Raw genomic sequence first — 27,392 nt, 5'->3', positions numbered from 1 at the left:
CACAGGGGCCAGATCTTCTGATGTTTCAAAAGAAATCAGAAAACTAGATTTTAATGAAGTCCTCCCCACCTTTTGTTCACAACACAGCAGAAGCCAATATTCATCCCTCAGGTGGCCAGTTTGCAGTCTCTGATATAGACCATCACCAAACAAATGATACCTTTTATAATGCCTAATATCAATCATGGACAGCTCACACAGTAATTCTAAATATGCAAACTTGCTTGCTGACTTGCGCACTCAGCCTGCAGGTGTTTCAGTCACTTTAAATCTAAACAGATTTTATTTTCTTTTTAGAGTTCTTTAGGGCAGCACTGTCCAGTAGAAAGTTCTGCAATGATGGGCATGTTCTAAATGTGTGCCTTTCAGTCCAGTCGCCACCAGCCACATGGGACTCTTGAGCATTCGAGATGTGGCTAGTGTGACTAAGGAACTGGATCTTAAATTTTATTTAATCTGAATTAATTAAAACTTTGTAAATCGTCACCTGTAGCCAGTGGCTAGCAAGCCTTATCTGAAGGTCTCTACCATTCTCATCCCCTCAGAAACCCAGCTCAGAGTCACTGAATGGAACCAAACTAATGCATGCTTTTGATTGCAAGGCGGAGTAAGGAGGGGAGGGAACAGATCCACTCCAACCTTGGTTGGGGTCAGGAGAAAATTCCATGTACCTAAATATATGAAGCTTATAAATCAAGCTGACACACTCTTAAATAAAATATGTTCCCATCCTTCTACCTGTGAAGTATTTCTTTGTAATGTCCTGGAAGGACAGGTTCAAATTTAGAATTCCTGGACTCCTAGGTCTCTGCCCTGGGGCACAGTGGCATGGGGGGAGCTGGCCCTTCTGTCCCCACCCCGGCTCTATCCCGCACCACAACTGGTGTAGCACACCTGCCTGGACAGAGTGGAACTTTACATAACTGCGGTTCAAGGACCATCTTTGGGACACTTCTGTTGATCAGATCTCTTTTCTCCCTCATGGCTGTAGCTGCATTTGACTTTAAGACACCTTACACAGCCTTGTAGAAATGCCATATAAAGTGAGCTCCTGTATTGATTTGGGCATGAAGCTCCCTTCTGGGACAAGTGCTATGTCTGATTGATGCCTTCTGGGAGTCCATATAAGCGCCTACTTCATTGCCTACAAATTGAAGGATAATCACTTTTCTAAACAGGCTTGCACTGAATTCTTCAGAGGCAAATTAGAACTGAACCTGGCTGCTGCCTTTAAGGTGTGTAAGACCTGAAACAAGGAATGGGTACAGGTGTGACTTTGGTCAAAGGTTAATAAGGAGATTTCACTTCATTAAGCTGCTTGTTTCACCATCACTAAATCTCTTTGGCAACCTGCCTCAGAAGACTTCTTACTTGGGACGGTCCTTTATGTCAAAAAAATTGGGGCGTAGAAGATAAATTACAGGTTGCTTTTAATTCAGGTATAAATCAATCCAGTGAGCTCCATGTGATGAAAGTCATTAGTTAAAAAATCAAGTATCTTAATGCTTAGAATTTGCATCTGGATTATCTTCATCTAAATAAAGCCTTTCAAATGATTTGCAAATTCTGGCATTAAAATAGGTAAAAGAGAATAAACATAACAGTCACACTCCATGCACACATAGATGTATGTGAAAAACTTGAGCAGTTTGAGTTGGAGGGCAGCTTCTGAAGCTTATTTTGAACAACTGATTGATCACATTCGTTTCTGCTGGGAGGCATTTACGCCCGTATTTTTAACAGGTGATTAAAAAGTCATTTCTCCACTTGGAGAAAAAGCTGGAGAACTATACCCTGATTGTGCTGGGGCTCCCTCCTGTGGTAAAAAAGAAGAACAGGCACATACATAATTCCTGACAGCTGAAGAAAAGAAATAGATGGTCCCAGGGATAGAACCGGAAAGGGTAAACTGTGACGATCTGCAAAGATTCAGGGCATCCGGTCAGCTCTCTCTGTAATTCAGGCTTGTCTGGGAAACAAACTTCAAGCTTTCTGTTAGATATGTTAGACCCTGGAACACACTCTGATCTACAATGGCTGCTACCCTACTTAAGGGCACTCACATTTTACCACTCTCTCCTTAATTTCCTTTCTATTACAGCCACTTTTCAGCGTTAGAAACTCTTTTATGATTTCGTAGTTCATAATACCTTAATAGAAATTAATGTAAACATTTTACAGATGAAATATGTTTTCCCCTGTGTCTCTTTTCATATATGCAAATGCTTAGCAATCTTGGGTGGTTTTAGAAAGTGATGGTTTCTTTTTCTCAGTGCCTTGACCTCATTTTTTTCTTTTTTTTTCCTCTGCCAACATCAATTTAAGTCTATTGAAACAGAAACCTTTGAAACAGTATTAGAAGCTGAAAGCCATCCCTACATGCTTTATGACTGTTAGACTGAGTGGGTTTGCTTGAGATTAAATTTGCCTTTTTTTTTTTTTTGACACGGAGTCTTGCTGTGTTGCCCAGGCTAGAGTGCAATGCATGATCTCGGCTCACTGCAGCCTCTGCCTCCCAGGTTCAAGCGATTCTCCTGCCTCAGCTTCTCGAGTAGCTGGGATTACAGGTGACCGCCACCACACCTGGCGAATATTTTTGTACTTTTAGTAGAGACAGGGGTCTCACCATGCTGACCAGGCTGGTCTCAAACTCCTGACCTCAAGTGATCTGCCCACCTTGGCCTCCCAAAGTGCTGAGATTACAGGCATGAGCCACCGCAGCCAGCCTGAAGTTAAATTTGAAAGTATCATCTTGTCCATGTGACTCTTTTAAAGGGTCTCTAATCACCAGCGCACGTTGAGCTCTCCTAGCCCTGCTGCCTGAATTAGCTGCAACTGTGAGGCTGAGAAGGAGTGGGTGAGGCTAAACATATCCAATGGCCAGGCAAAAATACATAGGTAGTACAGGAAGATAGGACTAGGGGTTAAAACTGGTGTTGGGAGAGACAAAGAAAGATAAGCAGTTCACAACACTTTTCTTGTTTCTTTTATGAGAGAGGGGTGGACAGGTGTCATTCTGCAGCTATGGGATAAGTAGGAGCCTATGTCTCTGCATTTTCTCTAAATTCTATCCTAAAGGGGAGCCCTACATTGTGATAGTAGGGAGTGGGTGTCGCAGTGGCCATAGGGAGCTTCCAATCTCTAGGGACTACCTTTTTGGAATGGCAGGTACACTTTTCGTGAATGCAGGATGAGCATTTGAAAATTTTGAACAGGCAAATAATGAATACACTGTGTAGGGAGGTAATGATGTCTTGTTGGGCTTCTCAAAAACATTTCAAAGATCTTCTAAGGGTACAATAAAAATTTCATTAAAAAGATAAAATGCATTTGCTCATAAGAAAACACTAAATGAAATAGGTATTACTTATATGCATTTTGTCTTAGCCTATTTAGGCTGCTATAACAAAATGACCATAAACTAGGTAGCTTACAAACAAAGAAACTTATTTCTCCCGATTCTGGAGGCTGGAAAGTCCCAGATCAAGTCACTGGCAGATTTGATGCCTGGAGGACCTGCTTCCTGGTTCCTAGATGGTGCCTTCTCCCTGTGTCCTCACCTGGGGGAAGGGCAAGCAATCTCCCTTAGTCATGTTTGATAAAAGTACTAATCCCGTTCATGAGGGCTCCTCTCTCTTGATCTTGTCACCTTCTAAAAACACCACCTCCTAACACCATCGAGCTGGGGATTAGGTTTCAACATACGAATGTGGAGGGGGCCACAAACATTCTGACAATCGTGAAATTTGTAAAGGGATTTCTTTTTCCTTTGTCTTTTTCCTTTCACCTTTCCATGTTCAGAAGAGTGGGAATAGCCTTCCGCTGAGCATTTTACCTGCTTGGTCTCAGACTTTTCACTGTTGTACCTGGATTTTTAGTTGTTAGGGGTGTGTGGGAAGATAGGACCTAGGGGGTGCAGAGGAAAGGACTGGCTTTCCGGATGTCCACATCAGGGGTGGGGGGCAGGGTCTGGTTCGGCCACCCAGGCTGGTGTGCAGTGGCGCAATCTCAGCTCAGTGCAACCTCTGCCTCCTGGGCTCAAGCCATCTGCCCATCTCAGCCTCCTGAGTAACTGGGACTGCAGACACACGCCATTACACAAAGCTAATTTTTTTATTTTTTGTAGAGATGGAGTTTCACCGTGTTGCCTAGGCTGGTCTGGAACTCCTGGGCTCAAGCGATCCACCCGCCTCAGCTTCCTAAAGTGCTAGGATTATAGGCGTGAGTCATCGTGCCCAGCCTGGATGTCCACGTTTTTTAATGAAGGTATACGAACTACTATTTTATAGAAAAGTCCAAGTTTTTTCCTGCTTCTCACTCTCCAGAACTTCCTAACTTTCTTGCTGATGGTTTGTGAGGCCAGGTATCAGTGAGGTGATTGTAATTCAGTGTGTTCTGACAAGATCAAGCTGAAAAGTGTAACAATTTTGATAATAAAAGTGCCAAACAATTTTTCATATCACTAGAATCCTGGTTGACTCAACAGGCAGATGATTATTCAGAAATCCTTCCTCCTAGTCCCTTGTTGTTTCCACTAGGTTAACTTATTTGAAAAAAAAAAGTCCAAAATGCCAGTACACTGTATGAACATTTTTCATTGCCGAAAAAGCACTGATTCTACATCTGCTTAGATTTGTGCAGGGCCCTGACACAGACATAAGGATGGTGCGCCCCCGTGATTAATGTACTTCTAGCCTTCAGCTTGCCATTCAGCCCTGTTGGGAGGGTCAAGGGAGATGGCGCAGACATTGAGGACTGAGCCGAAGCCCCCGTGGGGACAACAATAAAAACCATCCCTGGAATGGAGTGTCTTGTGTGCAAAGGCCTGGAGGTATTGGTGAGCACGGTGACTTGAGGATACTGCAAGGAGTTCTTTGTGACTGAAGTATAAGGTACTAGCAGGAGCATGGTGGGAGAGGAAACTTTAAGGAGGTCTTTCATGAAGGACCTTAAATACCATGGAGAGTAGTCTCGGTTTTACCTTACAGCCAGTAGGTTGCCATTCAAGAATTTTAGACTGGGCGCGGTGGCTCAAGCCTGTAATCCTAGCACGATGGGAGGCTGAGGCAGGTGGATCACCTGAGCTCAGGAGTTCGAGACCAGCCTGGGCAACACGGTGAAGCCCTGTCTCTACGAAAATACAAAAAATTAGCCAGGCATGGCAGCGTGCACCTGTAATCCCAGCTGCTTGGGAGGCTGAGACAGGAGAATCACTCGACCCTGGGTGGCGGAAGTTGCACTGAGCCATGATCGTGTCATTGCACTCCAGCCTGGGCAACAAAGCAACACTCCTCTCAAAAAAAAAAAAAAAAAAAGAATTTGATACAGGAATAACATGTTTACAATCTGGCTAGATGGTAAGATACCTAAAAATAAACAATAAAATAACCAGTGGCATCCAAGAAGTGTCTGAAGACAATGTATGATTCAATGTTAAATGCTTAGGACAGTGTTGAGTGACAGTCATAGAGAAGATAAATTGCTGTAAGTTGAGGATGTCAGGGAACTCTTTCTGAAGGAGGAAAGAATAACGCTGCACCTTGCAGAACAGGTAGAAGAAAGGGAGACGCTTCATTGATGCTGCGGTAGGGGATTTCTTGTGCACAGATATAAGGCTAATGGAAAAAAGCAGACAATGCTTTTTTTCCTGGTCACACTGCAGTAGATGTTGCCGCCTCTTCCCATGAGAGGAGAAGGATAAGTGGGCATGGCCCAAGGTAGAGTCAAAACGATGTGGCTGAGTGTTTCTAGAGAAAGGACCTCAGGATGGGATGATGAACTGAGAATCCACGTTAGGCAATGTTGGCTTATTCCAGCTTGGGGACAGGTGTTAAACACTCCAGAGTTTCAGAGTATTCACTTACTGAATTCATGTAACCCCTTAAAGGGGTGTCTAGAACCTACTCAATGCAAGCATTGAGCTACATCTTGGCCAGATGTCTCTCATGTGGGCACCTAATTTGCCTGCCATATTGGCTTCTCTATCCTAAAAGACTTTTTCCAGAGGGTGTGAAAATGTGTGTGTTTTTCTGGGACTCTGTTGATTCACAGCTACTCCTTGATGCCATCGAGCCTGATAAATGCCATGGACTCTTCTAAGAAATCAGAACCCTAGGCCATCAGCACAAATTATATTCCTGGGGATGAATTTGCTCTAGAACAAGTATTTAGCTTTGCTGGAGGTTATTCCAGCCCTTTCTAGGCCTAACCATACAAGAAGATGTGAATTTTTCCTTTTTGATGAGAGGAAAAGCAGTAAAAAAAGGAACCCAACCCAAGCCTGGAACAAATCAGGCTCCAAGCAAAAGGAATTCTACCAATTTGTGGGACTTTGCCAACATTTCCAACAGTAATGGGAAATCAATGTATTAACTCAGCTAGTAAATATTCTAGAGTGGAATAGATGCTGCCTGGAGGATGCAGATTTGAACAAAAGAAGCATGGCACCTGCCCTCCTGCAATTTACAGGTGGCGAAGGAAAGGCAAGTAAACAATTTGGCAATCAACAGATGTTTTTGCTTATGTGTACTATTATTCTAAAGAGTCCTGTCTGAGCTTTGGATGAGGTTCAGCTGCTGCTGTGTGCCAGCTGTGTGATTGAATTCTTCTGAGATAAATTTTTAAACGATAAAACGTGGCCAAAGTGCAGGAAAAGCAAAGAGCCCCGTGGTTTCATATAAGTGAGCAGCACAGGCTAGATTTAAAGCATCTGAGAAGCCATGGTCCCTGCATTTGAAGAACTTTGATTATACTCTTCAAGCTAAAGCTGTGCACCTTACACTGCCTTGATGAGTAAAGAACTTTTCTTTCCACCTGTTCAGATTTGACAGCGCTACGCCACAGGATTTAGTCTGGACTTAGCAAACACCCACCGATGACCGAGCTGCTGTAACCATGGAGTGCTCGTCAGCATTGCCCCTCTTCGCTCGTCTTTGTCTAGGCAGGATTCTCCTTTACTCTGATTGGAATTGCAGCCGTTTCTGCTCAGGTTGGAGGTGTGTGGACACCAGCACGGTGCCTGCCTCCCCTGGGTCAGCTTGAGATCTTGCTATCATTTCATTCCACAAGGAACACAACTCCTCTCAGATTAAAAGGAAAAGAGGGAGAAACATAATTAAACATAGCAGTCCCCAGTGCTTGCTTAAATGCTAAATGAGGGGCCTATGTTTTTAAGAGCACATTCTAGGGGAAATTCTGAAATTGCAAGCTGCAGCCCTTTCTCTCTTCGTGCTCAGTTTGGCTGATTTCCAAAGCATTGAGGCCAGCAATTGAGGGACTGAAATGTAATCGGTGGTGATACGTTTGTGCCACATGAAACATTCTCTGCCTCTGAAGGCTCCAGAGGCTGTGGGAAGCAGCACATCAGCGACAGCTCCTGGCTGCTGGACTCCGCAGGGAGGGAAGGAAGATTGGTCGCAATGGTAAGAAACTCTGGAGTTTTCTACAGACCTAGTGTGTTACCTGGGAAAGAATTCTTAGCCTCTGCTGGTGAAAATGGCTGTTGGTAGCATGAGACTGAACAGTCACTTGAGCTCTGAGGCACTGTCCTTTTTTTATGAGAAGGGCAGGAACACTCTTTTCACCAGAGCACTGATTTTTTGAAAAATGATTCCTTTCATGTCAGAGGTAATGGTGCTTTGTAATTTATAAGGACTTCGCTGGGCTCTGCCAGGGAAGGACAGTCCTACGGTGACCTCAGATGTAAACCCCGATTAATGCATTCTCTGAAGTGTGCTCTTTCCTCTGAAAGTAACTGTAATTTCCATGAGATTCTTCAAAGAAATAGTTGTCTGTTTTCTCGATATGTTTGTGTGGCGGTAAAAATCCATTCATCCTTAAGCAGCTTGCTTTGAATTGTCACCGTTCTGTGAGCTTCACTGTTTACTGGAGGCATTAAGCATTACTAGAGCAAACTTCCACGTGATTTTTTTTTTCTTTTGAAACTATCATAGGCAGTAACAACAGGAGCCCAAGTTTTCAAAGAAAGAACGATCTGACTTTGGAGGAAGTTTGATTCAATCCAGTAAAGCAAACATTGCCAGGATGAGGTGATCCTTAACGTAAACGTGAGGTCTTTAGATGAGGTTTTAGAATTCACTGTGGAAGTTACAACATGTTTATCTCTTGGCCTCTGCTCTCTGGATGTCTTTTCCAAGTGTCTCCTCCCAATCACCCATGATACAAGGAGGAAAACACGGGAGATGGGGGGAAGAACTGGCTTGCAACAATGGGGCCACTAAACATTTTCTCGAAAGGATTAATGGACAAAGGACATTGATAATAAATAGGATTACATATCATTGAGAAGAAGATAAAGCCTATTACTGTTGAGAGAGAATGCCTGAAATATACTTATTTGACTGCACAGCTGATGTGTGGGAAATGATTTTTCTGTTTATAATCCAGATGAATGAAGAGACTGGTGATGAAGGGAGGGTTGGGAATTTTTAGAAGTGAGTTTGCCTTTCCAGCAACTCAGAAAGAGGGAAATTGGAAACCAGATCTATGAGAATCATTCATCTCATTCCCTGCCTTCATGCACCATCCCTAGATCATTCATTCATAGGGACACAGACCAGAGAAATCACTGCCAAGACAAAGGTCAGATTTTTCCCTCTTTAGGTGACACCTGGTACCTTTTATCATCTCATCCATTTGAGCAGTTCTTAACTGTTGAGAAGTCAAAATAAACTGTTTCTCCTTAGTCAGGATGGGTAAAAATAAATAAATAAATAAATAAATAATGCACATATCTAGCATGAGGATTAAATGGGACTCTGAGTGCTTCGGAATGTTTTGCCTGAATGCTTGAGGCAGAATCATTCCTTTCTTCCCTTCATTAGCCTGAGAACATTCCTTTAAGGATTATAAAGGACCGGGCTGAAATGCAGAGTCCCTCTCGCGCCAGCATACTTTGAGCATGGGCATAAACATACGCATAGTGATATTCTCTTACAGTATTCAGGGAGAAATGAGGAGCAGGTCAGGGGCTGAGATCATTGAAGTACAATCTGATGAAAGTGTACAGACCTCCGAAGAGAGTGAACTTTCCTTTGGAGTTGTGGAAGGGTGCGATGGGAACTAAGAGTGACTGCAAGCTGTTTACATTCAGGCCATCCTCTGGTTATTTTCATTAAGTACTGTTTAAAAGGTTGGGGAAAAAGTACCCAGTTTTACATTAAAATAAAAGCTTTGTTCTAAGTGAGCTCTTCTTAATGACAGACACTAAAATGGCAATAATTTAACAGGGACCACCTAGCTTTTGCCTAGGCAACCATATTTCACCTTTCATTTTAGTGAGTAAGAGACCACTGACCGGAAGAGGAGTGAATCTATAGATTGGATTTTCATTAAATCCTTTCCATGATGAAAAGGAAACCAATCATGTTTCTCATCATTGCAAATGTGATCAGTTTTCTTACCCAGGATCAAAGACACTCACTGTTTAAAACACTCTCCTTGACCTCATTAGAGTCAGGAGCGTGTCAGAACTTGCTAGATGTTATACCAAATAAGCCAGCCCAGCTTGGGCTCTGGCCTCTGATTACTTTTTAAATTTTATTTACAAATTTAAAGGAAATGCAAATAATTAAGTTCATATTACAAATTGCAGACGACTTTTAAGTTATTTCAAAGTGAGGAAAATGTGTAGAAGTTCTCAATATTTTACAAATAGCGAGGACATAATGTGCTATGTGCTGAGTGTTTTAAACCCTTTAGTAATCCCCATTCTTGCTTTTAAATACATATTTTAAAATGACTACCCCTGTTGCATTGAGGAAAGGCACACAGAGTTCTGTGCTTTCTGAAGGGCACACAGCTAGTGAGGGGTAATGCCAGGGTGGGAATAAATGGCTACTGGCTCTAGGGCCCTCATTCCTGAAACCACCTCCTCATATAGCCTTTCAAAGTAGAGAGGAAGAGAGCAGGCGCTAGATGGGTGCCTGACAACAAGTTACAGAAACTTTCAGTGCCCCAGCCTCGAAATTTCAACTCACCTTTGACATTTCTCTTTTCCTGTTCTTCCTTCCCGATGTCACCTGTTTTAGTTGCTTTGTCATTTGCTCACGAACACCTTATGTTCCTACTCTGACCAATTTCCCTTAAACAGCTGTGTCTAACTGGGAGACGGTCCAATGTGTGGAAAGAGGATATAAAGTTGCTCAGACAGGGAGTTAAATTTCTTTTTTCTTTTTAGATAGAATCTCATTCCGTCACTCAGGCCACCCAGGCTGAAGTGCAGTGGCGCGATCTCAGCTCACTGCAACCTCCACGTCTAAGGTTCAAGTGATTCTCATGTCTCAGCCTCCTGAGTAGCCGGGACTGCAGGCATGCACCACCACACCCAGCTGATTTTTGTATTTTTCAGTAGAGACAGGGTTTTACCATGTTGGTCAGATTGGCCTCGAACTCCTGGCCTCAAGTGATCTGCCTGTCTCAGCCTCCCAAAGTGCTGGGATTACAGGCATGAGTCACCACATCCAGGTTCTTTATTTTTCTTAATTTTATTATTATTTTATTTTATTTTTATTATTTTATTAATTTGTATTGGTATAAATGTATGAGGTATAAGTATAATTTTGTTATATGCATAGATTGCATAGTGGTGAAGTCAGGGAGGGAGTTAAATTTCTATGTTACACTCATTGTGTGATTTTGGACAGTAATTTTAAAACCTTTTTAATTCTTAGCTTTCTTCTCTGGAAAATGGGAATAATGATTGTTACCTCCATTGGGTCATCGTGAAGATTACATTAATATATTTGTGTAAAATAGAATGTTTAATTAGGAGACCATGACAAGGAGAAAAATTAGAAGGAAGCTTTAAAAATTATCTAGGTAAAAGATGATATGGATTTAAATTAGAATGGTAGAGAGAAAATGGAAAATAAAGCAGGAGATGATGTGAAAGAAAATCCACCTGCCCTGGCCACTGATTGGAGGTGAAATGTGGAAGAGTAAAGCAAATGACCCTGGCATTTGAAGCAAGCAGCTTGAAAAAAAAAAAAAAAAGAAGTGAATAAAACCCCCTCACTGTAATTCTTACATTACCTGGCATGCCACCTGTCTTAGTCTGTTCAGGCTGCTCTAACAAAATACATCAGACTGGATAACAGAAAAGCAACAGAAATTTGCCAGGCGCGGTGGCTCATGCCTGTAATCTCAGCACTTTGGGAGGCCGAGGCGGGTGGATGGCCTGAGGTCAGGAGTTTGAGACCAGCCTGGCCAACATGGTGAAACCCCGTCTCTAATAAAAATACAAAAATTAGCTCAGTGTGGTGGTGGGCACCTGTAATCACAGCTACTCGGGAGGCTGAGGCAGGAGAATCACTTGAACCCAGGAGGCAGAGGTTGCAGTGAACTGAGATTGTACCACTGCACTCCAGCCTGGAGGACAGAGCAAGACTCTGTCTCAAAAAGCAAACAAACAAACAACAGAAATTAATTCCTTATAGAGACTGGGAAATCCAAGATCAGGGTTTTAGCAGATTTGGTGTCTGGTGAGGGCCAACTCTCTGCTTAATAGATGATGCCTTCTCGCTGTGTGTTCACACAGTAGAATGAGCTCGATAGCTCTCTGGTGTCTCTTTTATAAGGGCACTAATCTGATTAGTGATGGCGGAGCCTTCAAGACCTCATCACCTTCCACATGCCCTACCTTCTAATACTATCACACTGGGGATTAGGGTTCAACAAATGAGTTTGGGAGGTGGGAGAAACAAATATTCACACCACAGCAGTGCCTTTCACATAGTAGGTTTTATATGGTGTTGAATGAATAAAGGCATAACTTAAGAGAAAAGCTGAGGGTCTATATAGTAGAGCATATAACACATAGCTATATGTGACTTATGTTATCTATTGGACTTTGAGTAACAGGCTATAGGTCTCATCTCTTTAATATATATCACATGTCAATAACTGTATGAGATGAGTCCTATGGCCTGTTCCCAAAGTCCAATGAGGTGTTTAGAAGTGAGTGACAATGTGGTGTGTCCTAGGAGAAATATATATTATATATATAGCCTACTTTATACAAATAATATATATATTATTTTATTATATAATATAATATTTATATAATATAAATATTTATATTATGTATAGTATAATTAAATATTTATATTTTATATAAATATATAATATATATATTATTTGTATAAAGTAGGCTTTTGATTATGTTCCTGAGGAGAAGATGGATCTAGAGGATCAGAGGAGGTTACATGCACCTATATTCCTATGTCCACAGGTTTCAGAAGCTTGAAGGTAATGAGTGAGGACAAATTAGATATAGTTAGAAATTACTAATGGCTACAGTGCCATTTTCTTGATCATTGATAACCTGTAACCACATTGATCAAATGAATAGAAATATGTGGAGGAGAATGAGTGCATACAAAATACCTCCCTCTTCTCCGGTACTTGAAAACTAAAGCACATAGAATAAAGGTATGAGTGATTTTATTAATAGGGTGGATCTAAGATGCTATTTATTGGAAAAAGAAGTATTGTGGTGACAAGTTTTTGGGAAATTGAATGTGTTGGTTGGCTTTGAGTTTCTCCTTGAAGATGGTGTCAAGAGCATTAGAAATTATGAATTACACATACCAACAATATAATGAAGATGAGTAATCTCATTCATTTTGCTGTGGTCTTATAGGAAGGAATTACTCTTGATGGGCTACAGGAAGTGCAAAGCTTAAAATAAGCAAATATGAGTTCTGTTCAAATTTTTATCCTATTGTTGAGCCTCCTGGATACTGATGATTCATGATGGATGCTGCACAGGTCCCATTAGGTGAGAAGACACAGAAGCCACCATACATGGGATGCTAGAGAAAATACCATTGATGTGGTGGCCTATTAAGTCTGATGTTGATGGTAAAATCAATGCAATAAATGGAAGTCCTAGGATAAATAAGCTAATTAGCTGCATTGCCTAGAAATTAAATAGGTTTGAGATGGAGGAAGTCTCTGGAGAGATGCTCATAGGATTACAAAAGAAGTGGTGTGGTTCATGTTGATAGCCTTGACTGCAACTTTAAATGCCCTCCTATAAATGTGGACTCAAGAATAATAGCAAAACTTTCTTAGGTGCTTCAGGTTAAGCTATGATACAGTTTACGTTCACTCTTCCTTCCTTTCCATTTACTTGTTTCAACACTCCTCATTCATTACTTTTTGCCTTTGTACTTCATCTCTAACTTCCCATCTTACTCCTTGGATTTAGCCATCCAAGGAGTAGGTGGATAATCTTCCCAGTTCACATCCTGGACACCTAAGGACTCAGCTCTGGGCATCTGCTTACTGGCTCTATGAAGTGCCCAGACTCCCTAAGACCCACCAACCAGTTCACCTTCCTTGATGTGGCCCTCCCTGTATTACACATAGATATAAGGAGAGCATATCTATTTGGAGAAATTTGTTGTTTGCATTCTGAAATTTGCCATGTTTGGATTTATAGCTTGTGTTGCAAAAGTGCTTGATTAATTTCCTCTTTTATTTTACCACTGTGCTTATTTTGTTTTCAATAGTAAAAACAAAATATAAAATATATTTAATATATAAAAGTGTCTTAAGAGATAGATAAAATACCTGATAGGGAAAAGGGGGGAATCACATCTGTATATACTTAAATCTCACTTTTTAACTAACTTCAGCCTTGTCCATAGGATTTAATATTTCTGATGGACACTTTGGCTGATTTAATAAGTTCATAGAATGTATAGCTTGTTAGCTTACATGTTCTGTCATAGCAAGGGCAGGCTATATTGCAATGTTGCTACACCTAGGACTTCCCCAGTTTTTGTTGATTCGGCATGGAGATTCCTTGCAGAACTGTGTTTACGACTTAAGTTTAAAATCACTGATGGATAAGGAATACCCGTTTATCCAATCTAGGACTTAGAAGAACTGCCTCTCAAATTTGTGTGAAAGTGCATGAACAAATAACGGATTAATTTCTTAAGATACTGAAAATTAAATACTGCATACAAATTGACTTTACTAGTTTAGGATTATAAGTGTTTCCTTTCCCTGCGTCTCTTCTTTGTATGGAGTGTCGATTTACTTAATCGGGTTTTTAAGTTAAAAAACTTTAAGATAACATAAAAACTGAAAAAGTGCACAAATCATAGATGTACAGCTCACATTTTTGCAAAATGAACACAATCTTGTAATTAGCACCCCGCTCAAAGAATAAAACATCACTGGTTCCCCAAGCCATCATGTGGCGTCTCATGATCCTGATTTAGAATTCCTAATCAAGATCTGCTTATTTTTAAGCTTTAAATACCCTTCTTTATTTTTTGTTTTAAAAAAGAAGCGAATAATCCCATTTATGTAACAGTGCCGCCATGGATAAAGTGGACGTAATACCTGGATGCTGCACGTAGATGGAAATCTTGAGGCACATGCTCACCACACTACTAGCAGTGGCGGAATTTGAGAGATGTTTTAGAACTTCTCAGTTGTTTTTATTCTTATTTAAATAGAGTTTTTCATGACAATGAGTATGTGAAGTTTACAAAAAAACATATAAGCATTTTTTAAGGAACTCTGGTACTTTAGAATGTCTTTGGACATGCCTTTGGAATGTCTCATGATGGGCATCGGCCAAGGTATTTTTTAAATCACTGGGCAACCGAGTCCATGCCCTAGACACTTTGTGCCCTTTGTGGGGAAGAGTTCTGTGCTCCCATGAGAGGTGCTCTTAAGTTGTCAGCGAGAGGTGGCAGAGAGAATGCTTCACTCTTTGCTTTATACAGAAGCTTACAGCTGAGCTACTCAATGTACTGGAAACAGCTGCAAATAGCAGAGATAAATTATCAATAGCAAAGATTAAAAATATGTCAGTTAACTTTCTGTTTATCTTTGTAAGGAATAAGTTTAATCAGAAATAACGTAATAGCCTTTCTGGGTCTTCCACATTGAGATATAACTGATGCTTCAACTTTGGCAGAGGATCCATTTTGAAGAGTTGCCAAGTACAATGGTGAGACCTCTTGGGCTCTCGCAGAAGGTGGGCTCGGTGGCTCCCCTGCCTAGGATGGCCCACTGTGTTCCTCGGGAAGAGGGGTGTCTGTCTGACTCCTTTTCCCCAAAGCTTTCTATTACTGTTACTTTAAAATGTGCAAAAGTAATATATATCCTTATGCACTCTAAAGTCAGGAAATATAAATTCTTATTTCATCTTAAGGGAAGATGAAAAAGGGCTGATAACTCTAAATCTGACTTATAACTGAGGAAACTAAGATAAGCTTAGTAAGCCAAATTAATTTTTTTTTAAAGTTTTTTTATGACTACTAAAGAAACACATGGTAATTTCGGAAGATTCATAACATGGTGAAAAGAAAAGTGAAATAATTTAGGGCTAATAACTGTTGGTTTTATATAGAGATATTTATAATCTAGCCTTTTTCATACACACACACAACACCACACACACCTACTAAAAACATACCATACACAGCATTTTTACTAATGGCAGTAGGTTAAATCTTTCATCAATTATATACTCATAGTATCCTGCATTTTGCTTCATAGCACTTACTACTATTTTAAATTATGTTATCATTTATACTAGCATCCTATTATACTCTTGATGGCTAGCACCATGCATGGCACATTACATATTTGTTGAAACAAACAGTGAATATTATACATTCTGCCTAGTCCTGATTTTTTCAACTTAATTTATTATAGCTATTGTTCCATACCAATAAATACAACTCACATAAATGTAACTCATCATTATAATGGACATGGATGCTTTTCCAATTTTCCTTCCAAATTACTATTTATAATAATGCTGAATGGGCATCTTTGTACATGCAAATTTAAGCAATCACCCAATCCAGTTCTCTTTGTATTTCATCCATACAGTGTCAAGGGGGTGAATGACCTGATTTTAGAAGTGTGAAGGAAAGTAATGGACAGAGCAGTAGGAGGAGGCGGAGTGAGGGAGAGGGAGCAATGAGTGGTTTCAGAAAAAACATAGTGTTCTGTGCTCAGCATGTGGATTGTGTTTAGTCTGTGAGTTAAGAAGGCTGGAAGAGGAGGAAGAGAAGTCTGTGGATGAGTCTCTCAAGGTAGCAGGTGTCTTGTATCTCAGATCCCTTTTAGCTAAAATCTCTGTGATTCTGGGGCTGGGCCCTTTGCAGGGCAAGGACACTCTATACAATTTTGCTCTTCATATGGTCCGCTTGGCCCTCATAATTGGTTAACTGCATTAGATGTTGATAAATGGATTATAATCTATACCCGATCAGTTTTCAATACAGTCAGACTCATGTGAATCATGCTCAGTCTTTAATTATTCTGCATCAAGCACTGATGATTTAGGAACTACACTTAGGTGGGGTGTAGCCTGCACCACCCAGCATTCTAAGGGGTCATTCCAACCCCACAACTCAGAACAACATTGTCGGCTGGTCCCAATTAATTCCTGTGACCAGCAACCAACTTTCAAGCTCCTACATGCTTGGCGAAACCAAACCTTATTCCCTTCCACCGGGGTGACTCGAAATCATGCTACTGCCTAAAAATGGATGAATAGAAATATCTATCTGAAAAAAACTAAAATTCCTTTTATTAAGGATTGTTTCAAGTAATTGTCTAGTTTATCTCAGATTAAGCTATATCCTGTAACTCCTTCTGCCTGCCAATATCTTAGGACAGGAGCTCCATTTATCCCCTATTCTATGTGTTAAGTGTTTCCAATTATTATGTATGGTGATATTTAAAGGATTGAAATATATACAAGAACACCCAACACTGGGCTCAGCACCCAGGAGGTATTTAGTACCTAACTGTAATTTGGAGTTTCCCAAACTGAACCTTGGCCAGTGGAGAACTTTCCACTGCTTGTGGCTTATACTGTCCCTGTTTCTCTTTCTCTTAATACTTGTGGATCAGGAGAGTTTTGTTTTGTTTCGTTTCCTTCTCACACATTTATTTAGCACTTATTGCAGGTGTGACCCTTATTCTGGGAAACTGGAGTTTAACAAAAAGCTCCTGAGTTCATGGAGTTTTCAATCCAGAGGAAGATGAGACAAATGCATTCGTTTATACCTGCAGTCCGTAGTGTGCTTCACGGAAAATTGGATGGCCAGATAGAGCAGCCATTTCTGCAGAAAGTCATCATCTCTCAACTTGATGGTAAACCCCTTTCTTTCTTCCTCTCTGGCTTCCCTCACATTTATTCTCCAGTAGATATTTATGGACCGCTAGCTGCTCACCAGATTCTATGCCCTTCTCTTTTTCCTGGACACATGGCTAATCTTCATTTTCCCGCTAGTGCCTGAGATCAGGCCAACTACATGTAGGCAGAAGTGATGTGGGCTCCTTCCAGGCCTACCCATAAAAACTTCCTATGAACGTGCCTCCATGCCTTTTTCCCATTCTGCTGGATGAATGGGAAACCCTGAATGGCCAAGGTTACTTGGAAGCCATGAGTTGAAGATGGCAAAGATAACCATCAGCCTCGGTCTCCGAATGACCTTGTTGAACAAAGCCCCCTTCCCCGGCTCCTTCCCCACATGCAATTGACTTGGACTCTACGTGAACAAGAAACAAACTTTGCTTGTCTTTGAGCCATTCTACATTTTGATCTATTTGTTAAGCAGTGAGTGAGGTACCTTAATTTTGTCAAGTCCCTGGTAGCTCTTAAGCGCTATGCCAGGTGGTGGGGATACAGTGGCAATCCAGGAACTAAAAATAAACATGTAAACAAACATGAGGGAACTAAACAATAAGCATGTAAAGAAAACAGAAATATACATATTGAGATAAGTGCAATGAAAGGAATTAACAGGGTGATAAGAGTAACAAGCTGGGGAAGGGGCAGCTGGCTGTGAACTAGGCTTTGAATAAAGCATAGGTTTTGACTCCTAAACAGGGATTGTTGGTTAAACTCTGAAAGTAGGAAACTAATTATCAATTAAAGGAGGATACAGGAAAATTGCAGAAACCTAGGACAGCACCCTGACTCCCCTTCTAAACCTGTTCCAAAATACTACTTCTGCAAATGGTTAAAAATTCCAAAAGGCCGGGTGCGGTGGCTCACGCCTGTAATCCCAACACTTTGGGAGGGACGAGGTCAGGAGTTCGAGACCAACCTGGCCAACATGGAGAAACCCCCGTCTCTACTAAAAATACAAAAATTAGCTGGGCGTGGTGATGCGTGCCGGTAATCTGAGTACTCAGGAGGCTGAGGTAGGAGAGTCGCTTGAACCCAGGAGGCAGAGGTTGCAGTGAGCCAAGATTGCACCATTACACTCCAACCTGGGTGACAAGAGTGAAACTCCATCTCAAAAAAAAAAAAAAAAAAAAAAGAAAAAAAATTAGCCAGGCATGGCAGCTCAGGCCTGTAGTCCCAGCTATTTGGGAGACTGAGGCAGGAGAATTGCTTGAACCCGGGAGGCAGAGGTTGCAGTGAGCCAAGATTGCACCGCTGCACTCCAGCCAGGGCAACAGAGAGAGACTCCATCTCAAAAAAAAAAAAAAAAATTTTTTTTTCTAATGTGCAAGCAACCATACATGCTGTCACGCCATCCCTGACTACAGATTACCCCCAGTGGACCTCATATACCTTGTGCATCCAGAGGAGAGTTTAGGGACTTTTAAAAAGTTACTTGTTAGTATCAGGCACCATAATCAAGGATATCTACGAATGCCCCAAAACTCTTGCAACCCTCTTCACTATTTTGCAACCAATGGAATAAATGATAACTTAGACTCCCATAAAGGTAAAAAATGGGAAGGGTAGAAACAAGTGCAAATTTTTAAAATGAAAGGAAGAGGTAATACTTCTCTACGATAGCACCATTTGTTGCTTAACAACTCCGGATCTTATACAGTAGCACAGTGATGACAGCATGCACTTGGCTCTGCCAAGCACTTTGTGTGATGTGATCTTGGGCCCGTTTCTTAACTTCTGTGTGCCTCAGTTTGTTTATAATCATAGCTAGTTCAAAGGGTGACATGAGAATTAAATGAGTTAATATTTATGAAACACTTAGGATATTGATGAAGCTGACACATAGTAAGTACTTATTAGCTGTTTGTAAACTAAATTTTTTTTTTTTGAGACGTAAACTTGCTGTGTTGCCCAGGCTGGAGTACAGTGGCTGAATCTGCAACTCTGCCTCCCAGGTTCAAGTGATTCTCCTACCTCAGCCACCCTAGTAGCTGGGATTACAGGCGCACACCACCACACCTGGCTAATTTTTGTGTTTTTAGTAGAGACAGGGTTTTTCCATGTTGGCCAGGCTGGTCTTGAACTCCTGACCTCAGGTGATCCGCCCATCTCGGCTTCCCAAAGTGCTGGGATTACAGGTGTGAGCCACCATGCCCAGCCTGTAAACTAAATTCTTACAGACCAGAGCTAGGAGGGTAAAGGATGAGAATGAGTGAACCGCAGGGCATCACTTCTTTGGCAGGCGGTCGGTGCCATTGTCATAAAGTCTGTTGGTCACTTTGTAGGCCCTAAAGAGAGGCATGTGTGGGACATGCCAATATAATACCGATCCACCTCAGTTACTTTCGATTTAAATGTGTGTGATTTGTGCCATCACTGGTATCCCTCCAGTGCCAGCTAATTGTGCTATTTTTAAGCACAGAATTTTGAAACAGTAGAGTTCTTACAGATCATCTTGTACCTCCCCTTCCTGAGGATACTTAGGTCCCAGAAGGTGAAGTGACTAATCGAGATCACATATAAACCTCTGACAAAGGGGTTCAACTTTCAGGACTCCTGGTTTGGTGCCCTGATACCCCATTCTCCCTTGCTTTGTCTAACCATACGTTGTCTGATGGTTTAGCCTCATAATCCAAATCCATAATTCCAAGAGGCTTCTTTTTGTTCTTTTAAATTTCTAGACTAACTTTTAGAAAATGTCTTAGAATAAATATTAAATGTAATAGAAATATTTGCTTACGTGGTAGTGGGTAGAACGTGGTGCAACCTCTTGATGGTCTAAACTGTAAGATTTTTGTTTTTCATAAGTTACACACTAAGGCAGTGACAAGACACATTGCCAACTAGAACTTAAAGCAAATGGCACATGAGCTTGTATCCAAATCCTTAACCCCTTAAGGTGAGTGTATTCTAAAAACTTAGCTCGATAAACATCAAATCTCTTTATAATTAGCTTATATGTATAGGCTGATTGTCTTCAGTTGTACTTTTTTGTCTGTGTCCTTTGGATAAAAAGCTGTCTGGGTCTGTGGATTTGAGCTATTGTCTTTAATAATTAACATAGTTGTGTTGTAAAGATAAATTTTTTTTTAAAAGGTGAATTCTAAGAACAATTACATATTAAAACAGTTGCTCACGGAGATCTTGATATAAAATGACCCTACCAGTTAAACATTTATGACAGGCATGTGGACTCTGGAGGCAAGGAGATGAAAATTGCAATTCTGAATGGATTTTTTAACAGGGCAAAAAGAATGATGTGATTGCCTTTCCAAGTGGAATGAATGCCATTTAGATGATTAGAGGATGAAAAATAAGACCTACGAAAGAAATGTTAAAGTAAATGGGATTATTTTACTTTGGAAATGGAGAAGCATAGAGTGATTTAATATGCATTTGAGTGTCTGAAGGATTGTTACACCAGAAGCTGGTGACCAACAAGTTTCCATTACTACCGTGAACAGAAAGAGGGGGTGGGGTTTCATTTGCACTGGGGATTTGGGTAAGACACAAGAATACTTTTCTGATAGGGAAGGCTATTGGATACTCTAATGGGTTTTGAAAGTTGTCGGATATTTTTTGAGGATCCACTGTGTGCAGGTCATTGCACTTGTGAATGGAGTTTTTTTCTTTCTCTACTACTTTTTATAAGTCAGAGGCTTACCTTTCTGGGTTGGTTTCTGTGAGGTTCTACTTGAAGGCATAGAGTAGTGGTAGATGATTTATCTAAAGTAATTTTAATCTTATGCTTCCCATGTCAAAGGTAGAAAAGAACTAAAAGTAAGTACATTCTCATTACCTCTAGCAGTTACATTCCATAAAGTCACTATGATCACTGAATTAGTGGATGCTCACCCATTGCTCTTTTAGGAAATACAAGGCTAGGCTTCTCCAAGCCTCTGGTCACAACATTTTTTTCAGCTGGTCAATACATAACCTTGTTTTATGTGTGTTTCTGTTTAAAGACACTTTATTTGATATGTATTGTTGATTCATTAACACTGAACTCACAGCCAACAGTGCTATAACTTAGGCCTGAACAAAGCTTATCTAAAACACATGTTTTCTCCATAAGGCACATCACAGCCTCCTGGCATTTAGGAACACTATACACACTTCAATGCTACACCTGGGGGGCATTTTAAACAGTATAATTACCAACAAAAAACACACAGATGCTAAGGCCTTGTGGTTTTAGCATTCTAATAGATCACAAAAAGATTATGGCAGCCAAGCTGAAACGAGAGAGCAGAGTGTCACCTTGTTTGACCTCAACTGGGAGCGCATGCACTAGGGACTCAGATTTTTCACCACTCTGCACATGATTGCAAATGACCATCAAAGCCCTTGTGAGTATCAATTTTAGGGTAACAAAAAATTTTGGCAAGTAGGTGAATTCGCAAATAGGAAATCCATGAATACTTTGGATTGACTAACTGTACTGTGTGTTCAGACTTTTTGTCAAAGCAGTTATCTTCATTTCAATTTAATATGAACAGCTTACTGTGCAGCTGTTTAAAAAAAAAACAAGGGCTGGGGAGTGAGGAGGGGAGAGCATCAGGAAAAATAGCTAATGCATACGGGCTTAATACTTAGGTGATGGGTTGATAGATGCTGCAAACCACCATGGTAAATGTTTACCTATGTAACAAACCTGCACATCTTCACATGTACCCTGAACTTTAATAAGTAAAATTAAATTGGAAGGCCAAGGTGGGCAGATCACGAGGTCAGGAGATCAAGACCATCCTGGCTAAAATGGTGAAACCCCGTCTCTACTAAACATACAAAAAATTAGCTGGGTGTGGTGGCGGGTGCCTGTAGTCCCAGCTACTTGGGAGGCTGAGGCAGGAGAATGACGTGAAGCTGGGAGGCGGAGCTTGCAGTGAGCCGAGATTGCACCACTACACTCTAGCCTGGGTGACACAGTGAGACTCCATCTCAAAAAATAAATAAATAAATAAAATAAAACAAGGGATGTCTCAATAGACCATAGATAACATATGACAATGAATTCATGTCTCAGAACACCATCTATACGATGACAGCTCCTACATAGGTATCCCCCTCCCCAGCATCTTCATTGCTTCCTGACTCCTGTATCTATAGCCTCCTTGGCATTTCCAGTTGGAACTCTGCTAGGCATATCAAACCCACCTTGTCTAAAACAATGTCTTGATCACCTCTCCTGTCCCAGGCTTGCTTTTCCCATTTCAGTAAATAACAACTCTCTCTTTTCAGTAGCTCAGGCTAGAAAGCAAAGTCTTCTCGGCTCTTCTCTTCCACTCCTGACATGCAGTCCATCAGCAATTCTTGGCAGCCCAACATTCATGAGGTATCCAGAAACTGACCGCCATCCACCATTTCTACCGACGCTGGTCCATGCCAGCATCACCTTCTGCCTACACTATGGTAACTGTGTCCTGATGGGTCTCCTTGTTTCCAGCCTTGCTGCCTGCAGCTTCTTAGCATAGCGGTCAGAATGATCAGTCTTCTGAAAGGTATATCTTGTAGATCCCTCCTCCACTCTTGACTTACTAGCAGCTTTCCATCTTACTCAGAGTAAAAGCCAAATGTTGGACCAGAGGCTACAAGAGCGTATGTAATCTGCCTTCCTCCTCATTCTCTGACCTCATTTTCTGTCAGTCTCCCTTACTTACTCCATGGCAGTCATGGTGACCTCCTGCTCCTCAGTAGTGACAATCACACGCTGGTCTCAGGACCTCTGCATGTGCTCTTCCTTCTGTCTGGGCGATTCCCCTCTGATAGCTGCATGATCTTGTCTTGAGGCCACTACTGAAACGTCCTCACATAAAGCAAGCTTCCCCCTCCCCATACCCTGCTTTAAGTTTTTAGAATAATACATATTACCATCGGACATAGTACATATTTATTGGACCCTGATTTGTCCTGTGATCCCCTCTACTAAGCATTAGCTTCTCCAGAACAAAGACATTAGTTTGTTCACTGCTGTGCCAAATGTCTGGGTCAATGCGTTGCTCATAGTGGGTATTCGATAAATATTTATTGAATGAATGAATAAATAGATGAATAACTACAGAACAATATCCTCAATATATTAAGTGGAAAAAATAAGGTGCGAAACAATATGTTTAGATTGCTGTATTTGCATAAAAAGGGAGCCAGCACAAACATGTCTATTTCTCTATCCTAAGATTAAATGAGTTCCCAGGATTGTACAAAAGCCTGGCAGGAATGGCTGTCCTGAGAGGAGAATTCTTTCAAGGGTGAGACAGAGACACCTACTTTTCACTATATATTTAATACTTGTGTGGTTTTTGCAATGTGCATGGAACATCTTCCCCCAAAACAAACCAACTGAACAATTTTAAGAAAATTTTACTTGAAAACCCTCTATTGAGCCTTGTTGAACATAAGCTATGTTTATGAAAGAATCAGAACTTCAGGGGACCAGAATGTATTGCCCCATTCCTGCAGAATACAGGCTCTCAGACAGTTCCTTTTTGCTTTTTTTCCCCTCTACGGTTTTGTGTATTTTCAATAGCTTCTCTTTATTATAAGAAAACAGGGTTGACATTTTTGGGTCATTGTGCTCCTTGCCATCTGCCACAGAAACTTTGACATGGGAACGAGAGAGGCACCATGTCAAGCTGGCAGGATTCTGAGGGTGATTTTAAATCCGAAAAATTCCATCTCTGTATCTCTTGGTCTCATTTTAAATGGCCACATTTTCCTGTGAAAGTCTGCCTTTTGTCTCTTTGGCTTTTTTTTTCTTTTTGTTTTTCTTCCTGTAGCTTTTCCCCTGTGGTTTTCCATTTGGCCTTCCCACATCACAAATCTAATTGGGAAAAATGGACAAAAATGCCCAAGAGGGTGGCGATGGTGCCTACCCATGTGACCTCCAACACTCTACAGCCTCCTAGGCTTTATGCCAGGGGAGTCTTCCAGGGCTTGTCTTGGATAAAGAGGAGAATTTCATTTGCTCCTGTGTGGTTGTACTTAAACCCGTGTGTCTTGTGGATAAAGGTCTCAGAAATCTGTCAGTGGCTTTAAGCCCCAGCTTTAGACGACAGATTTCTAAAGACACACCTTCCATTTATGAGCATTGAGCAGGGACAGAGACCACACAGAGGTGTGAATGAAGGCCCCTCCCATATTACAGTGTGGTCCATTAGACTTCACAAGGAGTGTCCCCTACGTTGGCAGCCTCGCCTGTAGCCTTGTCTAAGCTCGTTTTCTCCTTTGATTTCCAATAGGAATGAATAGCTTCCTTCTAATATTTTATCCTTGGTAGTGTCCGAATTTCCTATTGATGCTATTCCGTGTCCTTCTTCCTATCCTACCCAGTAGTTTCTGGAGTCTTGGTGAAAAGTGTAAAAGAAAACAAAAATATGCTGTAAAAATAAGTACTGTAATTGCCCATAGTTCATTATACACAGTAAATGGGTGCCCAGTAAAACTTTATCAGTCACAATGCAGCACTAATTAGAACATGTAGTTTTATCACTTTCATCATTCCATGAACCACCGCCCCTGACTTCCACTACCGTTGTGCCCCCTTTCCTGTGGCTGGTGATGCTGGATGATGTCACTTTAGCTTGTGGGTGAGCAGAACAGGTGGCTTCTCAGATTCCCTTGTAGGATTCCTGTGACTGTCATTGACTTACCTCTTACGGTAGGATTAGGATACTTAAGTGAACAACAGTGCAGAGACCTTCTCTAACTTTATAATCTTCTTACACAGTTATGACTTAGTGGCCTAATTTTCTCTGGCACAGAGTAAAAACAGAGTACTTAGGACATCTGGTTTTCTAGAGCTTTTGGAGTCAGAGTTAACACAGATGAAGGGACAGTGGTTCTCTCCAAAATAACCAGATGCTTGACTATTCACATATATGTGACTTAAATTTCTATTACCTTGTTTACACAATTAAATCTGGCAGGTGACAGAGTTGAAAAATGTTATTGCTCTTCCTGTTGTATTTGTTTCCCCTTAAAGTAGTTAAAAGAAGATGTGTAAATAAGCTGTGGATGAGAAATATAGCAGGATCATGGTGTACCAAGAGCAAGCGTCACATGCACCACATATTTTATCGTTTGAGAGGCAAGCGAGAGTGAAATAGGAAGAGCTTAGGCAGAATGATGTGGATGATAGTAATTAAATCTATCATGTGGAACCGATTCATCTCTTATCCTCAGTCGCTAGAAAAGATTATCCATGGTGGCCTTTTTTATCCTTTAAAAGAGATCATGTTGACCAAGCACCTTAACAGATATCTGTGTTCTTTAAAGCCTCTGGGTTGACCCAGGCTTATTTTATGCAGCAACTTTTACACCAAAACTGTTTCTTTGAAGAAAGGGGGAAATGGAGAATTATTGTTCAATGCATGCAGAGTTCCAGTTTTGCATGACAAAATGAGTTCTGGGTGGGAGTGATGGTTACGCAACAGCGTGAATGTTCTTAATGACACTAAATTGTACACTTAGAAACAGTTAAAATGGTATATTTTATGTTATGTGTATTTCACCACGATTTTTCACCTGAGGCTTGGACATGAGGCGTGTGGTCAGCTTCAGGGAAGACAAGGCCAGAGGAGATGCTGGGTTCAGGAATACTTCCTGCCTCCCAAAGCAGACAGGTGATGAAAACTAAACGTTGACAGAACTCGAGATGCTCACTCAGGAGGCGCTGCAGGACAGGCGTGGGGCATGGTGCTTGTGCATCCAGACATGTTCAGACTTCATCTAGCCCTGATGCTTGCATAGAGCTCAATGATGAGGAGCCTACCATTAAACTCAAAGCTGTGAGCTAGCAAGTTAGACATGTGCCTGTGAGTGATGTCTGCTCCCAATTGAGGGTTGGGCTGCAGTCAGAGGAGGAGAACCAGCAGGTAGAAGGGAGGGCTTTGGGTCCTGGGCAGTTTAGGACAGGGACTTCATTGTTGGAAGGGACAGATAGCCAACATAGGGAAACCAGCCCACCACTAGGAGTAGGAGTAAGGGGTGGATGGCAAGCACATGAGCTATTCATGCTCATTTCTGGGTGTTATGGATGGAATGTGTGTGTCCACCAAGAATATATATACTGAAACCCTAAGCTTGGTGTGATGCTCTTTGGAGGTGTGTCCTTTGAGAGGTAATTAGCTTTAGATGATGTCATGAGGGTGGGGCCCCCAAGATGGGATTAGTGCTCTTACAAGAGGAGGAAGAGAGACCAGAGCTCTTTTTCTCTCTGCCATGGATTCACTGAGGACTTACTGAGAAGGTGGCCCTTTGCAAGCCCAGAAGTGGGCCCTCACTGAGGAACCAGACCAGTCAGCTCCCTGATCTTGAACTTCCCAGCCTCCAGAACTATGAGAAATAAATTTCTGTTGTTTAAGCCAGTCAGTCTATGGTACTTTGTTATGACAACCCAAACAGACTGAGACACTGAGATGCTATGTGCTAGGCCCGACATCCATGCAGGAGCTTGAGGAAATTACATGGAATTCTAGTGGTGTTTTGGGATTCCTGGCCCCTTAAAGACTTGTGGAGCCTAAGGTGGCAAAGAGGCCACTAAAAAATGTCTATGCAGCTTGGCCTGATGCATGGCTAATGCTTTCTGTGGTCAAGCTAGACAGTAGAATAATTTTGTATGTCTGTGTTGGGGCATGAGTTGGCTACAAAAAAATGACCTAAAAATGAATTCTGAGTTTTCCCTAGGAAGAAAATTACATTTGTATCATAGATATTTTCGTTTCTTATTGCATCTATAAATTTTATTTGCTTGAAGGAGGAGTAGAGTCAATGAACGTTATAATCCATAAATTCAGGTTTCTCCTTTTACTTTATGGCCAGATTCTCATGGTGATTTAAACCCACAGAAGGAGTGATTAGTCTTGAATACAGAAAGGAAGCAATGATTTAGATGCCACTGGGAATGTACTCATGATAAGAAGTAAAAATGGTAATCAGTCAGAAAGCCAATTAAAATATTTCATGCAGATTTCCTGGGTTGTTATGGATAGCTGCAGCCATGTTGATAAATGCATAAAGAGCATTTCCAAGCCCGGGTGTTGTGGCTCATGCCTGTAATCCCAGCACTTTGGGAGGCTGAGGCAGGAGAATCACTTAAGGCCTGGAGTTCGAGACCAGCCTTTGCAACATGGCAGGACCTTGTCTCTAAAAAAAGTATTAAAAATTAAAAAAAATTTTAAAAAGATTATTTCTA

General features: G+C 41.2%; 1 protein-coding gene across 6 annotated transcripts in view, besides 1 other annotated feature; it reads left to right on the top strand.

Moving 5' to 3' along the window:
• PLD5 (phospholipase D family member 5) overlaps window positions 1–27,392 on the top strand; it is a 447,561-nt gene that overhangs the window by 73,772 nt on the left and 346,397 nt on the right. For 2 of the 6 annotated variants that reach the window (NM_001195811.2, NM_001195812.2), the window contains exon 1: window positions 7,307–7,421. The exons of the other annotated variants lie outside the window; for them this stretch is intronic. In NM_001195811.2, the coding sequence (NP_001182740.1) occupies window positions 7,419–7,421 (3 nt within the window). In that variant the 5' untranslated portion in view covers window positions 7,307–7,418. Of the gene's footprint in view, window positions 1–7,306; window positions 7,422–27,392 lie in introns of those variants that run through there. 6 annotated transcript variants of the gene reach the window in all.
• Window positions 7,094–8,293: an enhancer, noted in NCBI's record as "BRD4-independent group 4 enhancer chr1:242611784-242612983 (GRCh37/hg19 assembly coordinates)". NCBI's record gives its function as "activates an origin of replication core promoter dependent on BRD2, P300/CBP, MED14 and CDK7 cofactors, and independent of BRD4, by STARR-seq in HCT116 cells {active_cell/tissue: HCT116}" and the evidence as "EXISTENCE:reporter gene assay evidence [ECO:0000049][PMID:35650434]".

This window comes from Homo sapiens, chromosome 1 (genome assembly GCF_000001405.40).
Source record: "Homo sapiens chromosome 1, GRCh38.p14 Primary Assembly".
Taxonomy (NCBI): domain Eukaryota; kingdom Metazoa; phylum Chordata; class Mammalia; order Primates; family Hominidae; genus Homo; species Homo sapiens.
The sequence above is the reverse complement of the archived record's forward strand: the minus strand, read 5'-3'. Positions and strand labels throughout refer to the sequence as shown.